Source organism: Homo sapiens, chromosome 7 (genome assembly GCF_000001405.40).
Source record: "Homo sapiens chromosome 7, GRCh38.p14 Primary Assembly".
Taxonomy (NCBI): domain Eukaryota; kingdom Metazoa; phylum Chordata; class Mammalia; order Primates; family Hominidae; genus Homo; species Homo sapiens.
In genome coordinates, this window is record NC_000007.14 from 48641902 (window position 1) to 48655220 (window position 13319).

The window sequence follows — 13319 nt, forward strand, 5'->3', positions numbered from 1 at the left end:
TGTAACATACTGCTGAGAAGGGGGATGGCCACAGAATATATACCTCTTGTACCAACCCAATGTGTTGGCCTTTAACAATTCTGAGAGATAGCCAAATAGAAATGTTAGAGAGGTGCATGTCCGTATGCTTTTATGTATATTTTGTCAGTGTCCTCACCAACCTCTCAGCCATGTGAAGATTAGAAACCATTAACTCGAATGATGGGAGGCTACTGTGGCCATGCACAGACCTCAGAGGGAAGTGACATCTGACAGCCTGAAATTAAGACAAGAGGACAGAAAAACAGAACACCAGGGCAAAGAGCTCCATGGGTGCTCACAAGGGTGATCTATGTCACTGAAACAAGGTCACATTGTCTTGGGTCCCCTGTCTTTACCAGACAGACTTGAAAAATAATTTGACCATAAATCTGTTAGGGATCAGCCTCATTTAGGGGAAATTTACTTAAGTGTAACACATTTTCCCCCAGCAATGCTTTGTAAATGAGATGAGTATGATTGCTAAGACTGGGCATGCCATTTCATTCATTAAACTAATATTTACCAGTGCTAGGTACTAGGTACTCATACTGTGCTTGGTACTTAGAAAAGATGCTTCAGTGAACAAAATGGACAGAGATTTTAGTCATCAGAGTATATTCATGTATTTCTGATTTTTTTTGGGATGCTATGATGTGCCCAACACCACCTGAGATAAGGGAGTAGAATAATTCATATAGTTTTTGGAGGACCCCTACATTCCTGGAGATTGCTATTTGAGGTTACCTTAGGGTATGAGTATGAGCTCATGTCTTGCTGATGGGACACCAGTGGAACTACTGTCTATAACTCTACAATGTGAGGAACAGAGCCCCTTAGGCAGGAGACTTCCTTTGCAGTCATAGGGCCTGTCCACCTAGGCTGGGTTGAAGTACAATTGGGATAACTTTTTTATATAACAAACAAACAAGTGCCTGGTAATTACATATGCAATCCCTTTCATCTTTTCCCAGCCAAATTTTAATCAGTACAGACCTTGAAGCAATAAGGCCAGCAATCATGCTTCCCAGGGCCAGTTTCCAGCCCAGCTTCCCACTTCCACTAGCTCAGGACTTTGCTTTCACCGTTTGCATTTTCACCTTCCCTCTTTTATTGACTGGGTGTTGATTCTGGGACTTGCTGATAATTTTTTTAAGGTAATTCAGTGTCTGTGTCAATATAAATGGAAAACAACTAACTGTATAATTGACTTACAATTAATTTCTGTGTCTTATATTGAGAATCCAAACTCCCAACAATTTGGAGTAATTACTTCCTTTTTCTCCCTCTGTGTGAAAATGGACTTAGAATTTACTCATCTTAGGTCAATATGATAATAATCATGTTTCTATTTTATTTAACTCTCAGGTTTGGTGATGGTTATACAGTCAAAGTTTGGCTCTGTAAGGAAGCAAATCAACATTGCACTGTTTCTGACCACTTGAAGCTTTATTTTCCAGGAATTCAGTTCAAGGTAGTGCTAATATCTTGTATTATTTCTTTGTTTTCAGCTAAAAAAAAATAATAAATGTACCTGTCTTTTTTTGTTTTTATTCTATGCTGTTATAAGATACTACTTGTTACCTTAGCCACATTGCAAAGTATAGGCCCTGCCTCCCTACCAAAAATAGCATGGATAGCTGATATTGCTTGACCACTCTGAAGAGTGACAAGCCTGCTTAATTGCTTCCTGGATTGGCCAGAGCAGCCTGTGATTACATATCACGCCTCTTATCTGTGGGCACAGGTCCATTGCATAACTCATCTTGTTCAGCATAGAAGATTGCAAAAGCTAATCTCTTCCATATATTTGCTGTAGGGTTTATAGGCTTGATGGTTTCAGCATTGCTTCACAGAAATAGCCCTATGCTTGAGATCACAATCCTCTATAAACTTGCTGTCATCAAGTATGGTCACTGAACCAGCAGCATCTTCATTGCCTGGGACCTGTTAGACATGCAGAATCACAGGCCCCAACCTATTGAATGGGAATCTGCATTTTAACAAGGTGACCCGGAGATTCCTATGAACACTGAAGTTTGAGAAGCACTGTCTAAAAATCTCTTGGATAACTGTGGGATGCTAGTTTATTATAACTTCTAGGAGGCTGTAGTCCATAAAGTAGTTATGTTCTATTTATTTCAACAACTGTCATTTAGTGAAATCCTACTATGCAAGAAGCATGCTGTGTGAGACTGTCATTCATGCTCAATTATGACTCTGAGTCACCCTATAAAACAGACATAATTATCTCCATTGGCATACATGAAGACAAGGATCAGAGGTTTAAATATCTTCCCAAGTGTTGCTCAGCTAATGATGAGAATAGTGAGAGATAAGCCCAAGTCCCAGTGTAAAACTCAGGGCCCTTCCATCCGTCTCTGTTAGGCCATGTTAAATTCCTACATTTCAAATATCTTTGGGCATCTTATGATTCCTTAAACAGGGCTTCCCCATGCTGTTGCAAGGTTAGAGCATATCAGGGGGCAGAACAGCAATGCCACTCAGTTGAACGTTGTTTGTCAAATATACCCCATGAAAAATTGTCATCAATAAGCATTCATTGGAGACTCACAAAATTAAGTGTAGGTTGAGAAAACGTAACTGAATTTTTTTGCCAATTAAATGTAGTATGATCAATTTTGTTTAATAATGCTAGTTATATGATACTTTTTTTTTTTTTTTTTTTGCTTTTAGGGACAGCACCTGAATTTATTAGAATATCATGTGCCAAAAAGATGGGGATGCCTAGCTGACTTGTTCAAAGTTATAGAGAACAATAAAACCTTCTTGAATATTAAGCATTATTCCATTAACCAAACCACTTTGGAGCAGGTATAGTATCTTGAATGATTCAGGAGGTTGAATTTTGGTCTGTTCATCAGACCTAATGTAGCCAATTTTAAAATTAATCGAATTGCTTCAATTCACCACTTTATTCAATTCATCTTGTTAAATTTTATAAAATTATGATAAGGATGGTGAGTGTCAGAAAGTTTGTTTACTGTATACCCTTCTACTTAAGATAGATATTCAGTAGAGTTTCAATTTGTTCATATTATTTTGGGCATTTAACTAATTAAATCATGTCACGTTAACCTTCCTATCTCCACCTTACTCAGCCCCACAAGACTTTTCGGGGGGGCTTCACTGTAATCAAATGATAGCTAACTTCTGGGGAAACAAAAAGCGTTTCATTTACTAAGAGTACCAGGAATATAAAAATACATCACGACATATTTCTAAAACCAGGCTTAAGGTATTGAGAACTTCTAGGTGATTTATTATTATAATTGTCTAGAAATATGAATGTTCTTAGAGTTGTGTCCTCAATGGATTTATATATTTATGTGATTTGGGAGGGAATGGTATGAATTAATGATCTGTGGTTTTTAGGGCAAGTTGGCCAGTGTTCTGAGACAATGTCTCCTTTCTAATAAGTGAGACCAAAGGGTTGTATTCTTATAAGTAAACAACATTTTTATGGTTTTTTTCAGGTATTTATTAATTTTGCTTCTGAGCAGCAGCAAACTCTACAATCTACTCTTGATCCATCCACTGACAGTCACCACACACATCACTTGCCCATCTGAGCACTAAAGAAGTTTCCATAAGGAATAAAACCTTGTCTTCCATTACAATTAACAGTCAAGGATAAAACAAGCACGCGCACAATCAAGGAGCTGGAACACACTCTCCAGGCCGTCAAATTATTCTCTTGTTCATTTTCTATTTTGAATCTCCTTGTTAGTTAATAACCACCAAATGGAAAGGTCATTCTTTCTGCAGACTTTTGGGGAGCTCCTCCAAAACATTTGTTCTCTTTACCATGCCAGATGGACACCAGCTTCTTTGTGACAAAGGCATGAATGATTTGACAGTGTCCAAACTGAGACATTCTGGAGCTGGAAAGCCTGTCACACTAGAGTGTGTGTGACATGTCCACTCTAAACATGTCACTTTTCTGTTAAGAAAACTGAGCCCCCTCCCCACAGGTTAAAAAACTTTAGTAACTTGTTTGTATAGAAAATAGTAACAAGGACTATTTTCTATTGTTGTCATCTATTTACTAGATACATGTTTTTAATGATTTTAATGTAAGCTTTTATTAATACTGATGACATTATATGGTATGATATGAAAAAATCACCAATTTTTTACATATAAAAGATACCTTTTTAAAAAAATAGGTTTTAAGAGCTCTTTTAGTATACACTTTAGCAAAATTAATTAAATTGAACTAGTTACTCTGTATCAATTACAGTAGTTCTACCAGAATCTCCCAGGTTATAATTTATGAGGGTAGAGAAATAAAATGTAGATGCATTTTCTTTTTCTTCATTTGGATGAATAATTACTGTTTTTTGTTATTCTAAGTCAGTGTTTTTCAAAGCGTAGTGGTCCCCATATTAGCTGCATTGCCATCTTCTGGGAGCTTGCAAGAAATGTACATTCTCAGGATCCACTCCAGACCTATTGAATCTCAAATTCTGGGGCTTAAACAAGCACATTCCAAGTTAAGAACCAATGACCTAAGGGAATGTCTGGTTACCTCCTAGTTATACAAGCAAAATCTGCATAGTATGTAGTCTTTTTTATTTATTTATTTTTTTTTTTTGAGGCGGAGTCTCGCTCTGTCACCCAGGCTGGAGTGCAGTGGCGCGATGTCGGCTCACTGCAAGCTCCGCCTCCTGGGTTCACGCCATTCTCCTGCCTCAGCCTCCCCAGCAGCTGGGACTACAGGCACACATCGCCACACCCGGCTAATTTTTAGTATTTTTAGTAGAGACGGGGTTTCACCGTGTTAGCCAGGATGGTCTCTATCTCCTGACCTTGTGATCCGCCCCCCTCCACCTCCCAAAGTGCTGGGATTACAGGCGTGAGCCACCGTGTCCGGCCGTAGTTTATTTTAAAATATATTTTTAAAAGCTTTGTAAAAATTATGTCATTCTCAGAATTGTTGTCTTCAAAGCATTGTCAGATGTAGAGTGCTCAGATGTGGCTCTTAAAGACTATATACATCTGAATTTTTCATCCTATAGTTAGTAAGATGCATAAAATCAATCCACTACTGAAATAGTTTCCAGTCAGACATTTCTGAGTTCAGACATTTCTCAACATTCTTTTAACAACATTTTTCTGAATCCTCAATAGAAAATCACATTAATCTTATTTTAAAATTTGGCCTTTTTCAACACTAACGTTGAGTACCGGTAGCTTGTGATCAAAGGCATATACTTCCTTATGAGATTTCTTTACTAAAGCAAGATTTCATTAAATCTCTATTTCCTAAATATCATTCTATACAAAAGATATTTTTTAAACGGTAAGGATTAAGACAATCACTGATAGCTTTGTTGTGAGCAATTTTGATTCCCATGTATCACATGAATTACACTTCCTTAAATAAATTACAGTTTATGGCTGTATGATTTATTCTCTAATTCTAACATAGTCTAGTTGTCAAAAGGAAATATGTAATCTTTTTATGATTGTTGAATCAATAAATACCAATTTGTGAAACATGAATGTGTTTAAACTGCAGTGAATAAATGAGATGTGCTTTAATTTAACCCGATTTTTGGAATGTAATTGTGCTTTTGCCAATATATTTTCTTGTATCTTTATTTGTGTCTTTAGGGATCCAATTTAATTTAAGTAAGCAGGAAATGAAGCTACTCCAAATCTTTTAAAGTTTGAAAGGTTAAAATTTAATTGAGTTTTGCTCTGCTGTATTCTGCTCTTAGGGGTTCTTTTCTGGTTTTTGAACTGCTGTATTCTTGAAGTTTATGCTTCAAGGTATGCCTTTGAACAATAAACAGAAAGAAAGAGAAACCCAACATGCTAAAACACCACATCCCAGAAGACTGGATACAAAAGGTCAAATCTTATGTTAATGTTGAAAATGTCATTGCATTTATAAGTCATGCAGGTATTTAACGCCTTTGGAGTTAAACATTTGTCTTAAGACCTTTGGGCTTAAGGTCACACAACTGAGACTTTTAAACAGACTACCTTCTTTTGAAATCATTCTGAGTAGAGTACTTTATGAAACAGAAATAATAGTGATTATCCCAGTTCTAGTAATCTAGCATTTACTATATAGATTATCTTTACTCAGATATTTAAACAGTTGATGTATGAAAACTTTCATGCAAAATCAAGATAGTAAAAAGCAAACAGAAAGTGTATTTTAGCATAGTAAAGACTAGGTGGCTTAAGGTCATAGGTAGTTTATTTAATAAGCATTGAATTGAAAAATAGCTCAACATGACATCTTACAAAACATCTTAGAAAATACACAGCCACATACATACCCCACAACCTCCCCCCATAGGCACACTATTAGTGTTAATGAGAATGACATGAATATTAGCATAATCACAAATGTTTCTGCCTAAGTAGGAGTTACAGACACTTTAAATTTTCAAACTGGGTTAACTATGTTTCTCCTTTGGCTTTTGCTTTGGCCTGCTGCATTATTTCAGCTCAGTGGATTTTTTTGATGACTTGTTACAACTCAATTTCACACACTTGAATAATTCAAAGCCCTTTCACACATACACACAGACATACATATGCACACATGCACATACAAGCATACATACTCACACATGCACATGTATGCACACTCAAACACACATTCATTCCTTCAACTAACACCTTTGATCTCATTCCATGCACATAAGTAGGTAGTGGGTACTATAAACATGGGGTGGTGGACTAATCAATAGCAGAGCCACAATCATTGTCCTTGAGGAGCACTTAAGCAGGTGGAGATGGCAAGATGAGATCTACAAGCAAGGAGTACTCCCTGACATGGGGTCGGAATGATTCACTCTCATGGAGGATGTGGGAACAAATCTCGTGAGATAGTTACCACCTGCTTGGGCCTTTGCAGATTGAGAATGGGGGAAATGACATCTGAGGCTATGAATATCAGAGCAAATGGAAAATATTTAATGAGCAATGGATGCTTGCTTATTATGTTGGAGAACGATAGCTAATATAGTGGTTTCTGTAGACATCAAGAACCCAGGTGTCTCATTTTTAGAATTTCTCTTACATTCCAGAATGGCCGCTAGATCTCTAGCTATCACAATATTCAAAGATGAAATAAAAGAAAAATTGGACTAAGGGGATAATAGCACATCTATTTGAAGAGCTTCCCTGGCAACCTCACCTGCATACTTAGGCTTATATTACATCACCTGGAAGTATTCACATGACGCTAACTAGCTACAAGAGTGTTTGGTCAATGCAGTCTTTATCCAGGCTTCTGACCACCCTAAAATAAAATGAAGGTTTTGATTCTATGTGAGAAGAACTAAACAGATACTGGATAGATAACCAGCAGTCACTACTAAAGAAACAGAGAAGTTTTGTGGCCATTTTGCTTGGGAAAAGAATGCATTCAATTTTGGACATGTTGAATGAACCAGGTAGTGTTAAATTATGTGGCTATTTTGGGCAATCTAGGTTCTAAGAGTGTTACTATTTTCAAGATTAAAGATGTATGCTAAGATCTGTGGAGCGGATATCATTTATATTTATAAACATTACTGTCAAATTGAATGTGGTAGATAAAGAGAAGAAAATTTTATGGATATTTCCCATTTGGGTTAAATAAATAGCATTGTCATTTTCTCACAGTGAGAATTCCTCTTGAGAACTTTAATAAATAAATGTCTCTTGCTGGAAAGGGTTGCAAATTACAGAAAGAAGTCAGAAGCATTTTTCTTAATTATTTGCTATTGCTTGCCATCACAAGAGACATTTCATTGTCTTTCACTGTAAGTGAATCTATCACATTTTTTCTCTTTTGTTAAAGTGTTTTAAAGAAACACTCTACATTAAAATGTTTTAAAGAAAAATTAGGTCCACTGAGTTAAAGGTACATCTTAAACCTAGCAAAACTCAATGGTTAAAAAGCACATCTAGAAATTTTATGAGCATATTCTTCTTTCCAATACAAGGCAACATTCTGAACCCCATATTGGCCTTCACATTTATGTTCCATGGGTGTGGCTTGGTATTGATGGATGACAACTGTTGTTGGTGGGGTTCTGTTTGTTCCTTGGTTTTGTTCATGAAACACTGAGGACTCTTTGCGGGGTTCAATGCAGGGTGAGGAGTCATTGCTTCCAATCTGTTTACACTTGCACTTAGTGTCACATTGCAGCTTTTTCTACCCGCACATAACCAAGTAAAAACTTTGTTTGCCTCAGCATAAGTTTAAGTGAATTAGGGTAGTACGCTAGGGCAAGGCAGCAAGTCCAAGGGGGAGTTCATAGGCTGGGCATCAGGAGACCTGGCTCTACTGCCAATCAGAGTGGGATCTCCAAGCCCTTTTGCTGTTGTGCCCTTCCATTTTCCTCACATTTACAATCATGACAAGATCTTTGAGAAGACTAATGAAATCAGCAAATTTCCACAGACGGTGCACAAATATACAATTTTAGAAAAGAAAAGGGAGCATATCTAAAGATAGAAATGAAGAGTAATAAGAGAATAATATGAAAAACTTTATGCAAAATATTCAAAAACAAATAATATTTTTAGTAAACAGTTAGGAATCAAGATTGTCTCAAGAAAACAATAGCCACTCCAGAAAATGAATCAACCATGAAATATCATCACAAGTATATCCCTACCAGTGTCCCATCCCAATACAGCAGACCCAGATGGTTTTACAAATGTGTCATTCTAAAAGAGATAAATTCTCTATTTTACACAAGCTACTTCAGAAAATGAACAAATTCTATCTCATTTTAGACACCAGTATAACATTGGCACACAAACTTGTCCAAGAATAAAAGAAAAGACAAATATGGAGAAATTAATGTATGAACATGGATTCAGACAGAACTAATGATAAATAGAATCAGTAGTATATTTCTCATAATACAATGTGATTTATCTAGAAAATGCGGTTGTGATGTAAACTCAGAAACTATTAATGTAATCCATTCCATTCAAAGGTAATAAATGCTCTCAAATGCAGAAAAAATATTTCATAAAATATGATAATCTATATTAGAAAGTTAAACTTACAAGTAAGTTTTCACAATCTGATATGATACAGCTAATAATATTTATGAAGTTTTAAAAGCTGAATTGTGCTACACTGTCAAAATATAGCGTGCCCTTCTCAGGAAACGTTATTTATTATTTCTCTTCTGTCTTGTATATTTTATCTCTCTTAGAGCTAGGTTCTTTCTAGCAACACTTAAGATGTTTCAGTCTCTCCCATTGTATAAAATACTGTATCAATGCCACATCAGTGTCCACTCAATAATCCATCCCTCCAGCGTCTGTTCCATCATCACCTCCGACTGCCTTCTCTGCCTGTTCTACTCTGGCTGCTGCTCCCTCTATGCCACCAAAACAGTCCCAGCTAAGATCACTGAGGGTCTCCATTTTCCTAAGTCCAACAGATAATTCAAAATTCACACCTTCTCACCTGTCTGTTAAAATACCTTTTATTCCTTGGATCTCATGACTCTATACTTTTCTGTTTTTTTTTCCCCCTCTCCTTAGTATCATTTTTAGGCAAATGCTCCTTCACATGGCAATAAACTTTGCTTCTGAATCATTCTTCTCAAATCTCAACTTTTATTTTTGCTTCACTCTACCATTGCCCTCTGGATTTTTGTAGATTCCTTTTTTATTATTTATTTATTTATTTATTTATTTCAGATGGAGTCTCGCTCTTTCGCCAAGGCTGGAGTGCAATGGCATGGTCTCAGCTCACTGCAACCTCCACCTCCTGGGTTCAAGCAATTCTTCTACCTCAGCCTCATGAGTAGCTGGGACTACAGGCTCATGCCACCATGCCCAGCTATGTTTTGTATTTTAGTAGAGACAGGGTTTCACTATGTTGGCCAGGCTGGTCTCGAATTCCTGACCTCAGGCGATCCTCCCATCTCAGCCTCCCAAAGTGCTGGGATTACAGGCATAAGCCACCATGCCCGGCCTAGATTCCTCTTTTAATTTTTACAATTTACCCCTTTATCTTCCTTCTAGTCTTAGGACTCATATTGTAATTCAAGAGTGCAATGAACATTGTCTTTGGCACTCTCATTACTCTTACATAAATAGCAACTACTCCTTTTGTTCTTATGTTATTCTGCTCTCTTCTGACTGAAACACAGTGACCTAAATTAAGCTAATTATCAGTTAGGTATGTGCAGCCCTACTTTGTCCAGCAACAGCCAGAACCTGACTTCTGTTTGGTCTTCCAAGTTGCTCTTGGTAATTGGGAAATTTTTTGATGAAAAAAAAAATGCTTTTACCAGTCAGTAATAGCTGTGTGTCCCCACTCAAAATTTATGTATTGAAGTCCTAACCCACAAGGTAATAATTTTAGGAAGTGGGGGTGAAGCCCTCATGAATGGAGTTAGGGCCCTTGATAAAAAGGCCCCAGAGAGACCCCTCAGCCTTTCCACCACATGAGGACACAGAGAGAAGGCACTGCCTATGGGGAAGCAGGCCCTCACCAGCCGCTGAACCTGCTGGTGCTTTGGTCTTGGACTTCCCAGCCTCCAAAACTGTGAGGAAATAAATATCTGTGGTTTGTAAGCCACCTGGTTTATGGTATTTTCTCATAGCAGCCTAAATTGCCTAAGACAGTGTCCATGCAAACTAATTTACACAACACAAAAAATAATCCAAATATTGTGTTCAGAAGTGGAATGGTCTGTGTAATATAAAAATCAGATTTTGAGGTTAGACTGGGTCTTATATCTTGGTCCTAGAGTTTCCGTAACAAAGTACCACAGCCTGGTGGCTTAATAAAATCAGAAACTAATTCTCCCACAGCTCTAGAGGGTAGAAGTCCAAAATTAAGGTGTTAGCAGGGCCATGCTCCCTCCAAGACGCTAGGTGGAATCTTTTTTTGCCTCTTCTTGCTTCTGATGGTGGCCATGCTTGTTTTGCATTCCTTGACCAGAAGACGCATCACTTGAGTCTCGGGCTCTGCTGTCACATGGTGCTCTCCCTGTATACATCTATCTTCACATCATGTTCTCCTTTTCTTACCAAGATACAAGTGATGCTAGATTGGGGTCCACTGTGATGGCCTTTTCTTAATTAACTCTGCAAAGACTTTCCAAATAAGATCACATCCACTGCGACTGAGGGTTAGGACTTCAACATCTATCTTTCTGGAGAACACACTTCAATCCATAATACACTTTGTCACTTAAGCATCTTGAATTTCAATTTTATTAAGCTGGGGATAATAATGCTGACTTCACAATGTTTCTGTGAAATGAAATGGGACAGCAAATGTAAATGACTGCCATGGTGACTGACTAATATTAACATTCTGTTTATCCCCTCACCTCCAAGAAAAGGTGTATTCATGCCTTTTCCAGTTCCTCCCTTTTCTCTACCTTCTTCGCTGCTGCATGAGGCATAGATGACAGTTCAATAGCCCATATCTCAGATTTGTTTTGTGGCCAAACTGCTGTTTAGTTCTAGGTCTGTTTTTCTAAATATCCACTCGGAATCTCCCTTTGAATGACCTTAAGGCCTTTAAACTCATTATCCAAAATCTAATCAATGCACTTTCTTGCCAAACCTTAATCCCTTTCGAGCATAACTATCACACTCATAGGACTCAGATTGTAATTCAACAGTGCAATGAACATTGTCTTTGGTATTTTCATTACTCTTCTCACATCCAGTCCACTATGAAGTCCTGTTAACTTTGGCTCGTATATCTCTCTCAAACCTTTCCCTTTATGTCCATCTCCACTGCAAACATTCTGGTTCAAGTAGACTTTACTTCCCACCTGGTTGCTGCCTCCTAGGTTTTCGACCTATGTACCTGTAGTGGACAAAATAATGACCTCCTGACTGACAATCCCTAGAGCCTGTGAATATGGTACCTTACATAACAAAAGGGACTTTATAGATGAGATTAAGTTAATTGAGATGGGACAATAGCCACATTATCCAGGTGGCCTCAAGGTAATCACATGAGTTCTTATCTGGGAAAGAGGGAAGCTGTAGAGGCACAGAGAAGAGAGGTGATGATGGAAGCAGAGGTTGGAGTGATGAGCTTTTTAGATGGAGGTAGGGGCAAGGCACCAAGGAATGCTGGTGCCTTTAGAAGCTGGAAGGGATGAGAAAGCCCATTATCCTCTGGAGCTTCCAGAAGGAGGATTCAGGCCAATATCTTGATTTAAGCCCAGAGAAATCCATTTCCAACTTCTGGCTTCCAGACTATAGGATCATAAATGTCTGTGGCTTTAATCCACCATGTCCATGGTAAATTCTTACAGCAGCAACGGGAAACTAATATGCTACTGTTTGCCTCTTCCTGTACCTTCTCTATGCAGACAAAATAATGCCATCTTCGAGAGTCAGATCTTCTTGAAACCAAAATTAGATAATCTTCCTGACACATTCTTACATCCCTGGTCCACACTCGTCTGATCCTTGTGTAGTAGGATCAAGCCTTCCTTACCCTTCACGTTCTCTGCACCAAGGTCTCCCATTTCCTGGATCTCACTGGCTCCTTCCTGCTACAGGAATTTTCTCATGTTGTTCCCTGTCCTCAGAACAGCTGAGCAGCCCCATCATCACTTCTTATAATACTCTCTTAATATCATTTATCTTCTCTTTTTAACCCTTGTCATCATTGCCACTGACATTTTACAGTTCTTGTTTTTTATTTTGTGTCTCTTTTTCTACCTGACTTTATGTTTACTCCTCCACAGAGTCGGGGACAGGGCCTCGTTTCCTCCCTCTTCCTTTACATCATTGTGTCCCCATCCTCCAGCTCAGTGCACTTGTCACTGTGGGTACTGAAACTTATGAGTTTAGGCAAGGAATGCACAGAAGAACCCCAGCAATATCCAGGCTAGAGCATGTTTGTATTGCTGCCTGGACTGTTAATAGCATCTGTAGCTTTGTAATGTATCTACTTGAATAATTCTACATTGACAATGTTTCTACCCATCTGAAATAAATAAATTAACTTGCATCATCTTTTCATAAGTTCAGGAAAGGCATTTCTTATGGAGTTATCATCATTTGCATGTCAGAATAATTTTGAGGCACTGAAGTCATTGACAATTCAATGTCGGAAGTGATAGTGTTTCAAGCTTTTAAAAAATCTGTAACGGTACATATCCAATGTGTTCTAAATCTTTATGTCTCAGAACAGTAAATTAATACAGATAAATAAAGCTAAAAAAGGAACAGAATTAAGTTCCAATCTGATGTGGATAAAAGCATAAGATAATGTTTAATTCTCTACCACATTCAGTTATAAGCCAAATAGAGTATCA

The 13319-nt window shown here is 37.7% G+C and overlaps 1 protein-coding gene across 9 annotated transcripts in view; it reads left to right on the forward strand.

Moving 5' to 3' along the window:
* Window positions 1-5596, forward strand: part of ABCA13 (ATP binding cassette subfamily A member 13) — a 476040-nt gene extending 470444 nt beyond the window's left edge. For 7 of the 9 annotated variants that reach the window (XM_011515130.3, XM_011515131.3, NM_152701.5 and 4 more), the window contains 3 exons: window positions 1387-1492; window positions 2716-2853; window positions 3516-5596. In XM_011515130.3, the coding sequence (XP_011513432.1) occupies window positions 1387-1492; window positions 2716-2853; window positions 3516-3611 (340 nt within the window). In that variant the 3' untranslated portion in view covers window positions 3612-5596. Of the gene's footprint in view, window positions 1-1386; window positions 1493-2715; window positions 2854-3515 lie in introns of those variants that run through there. The other 2 variants (XR_926914.3, XR_926915.3) reach the window with 1 other exon arrangement.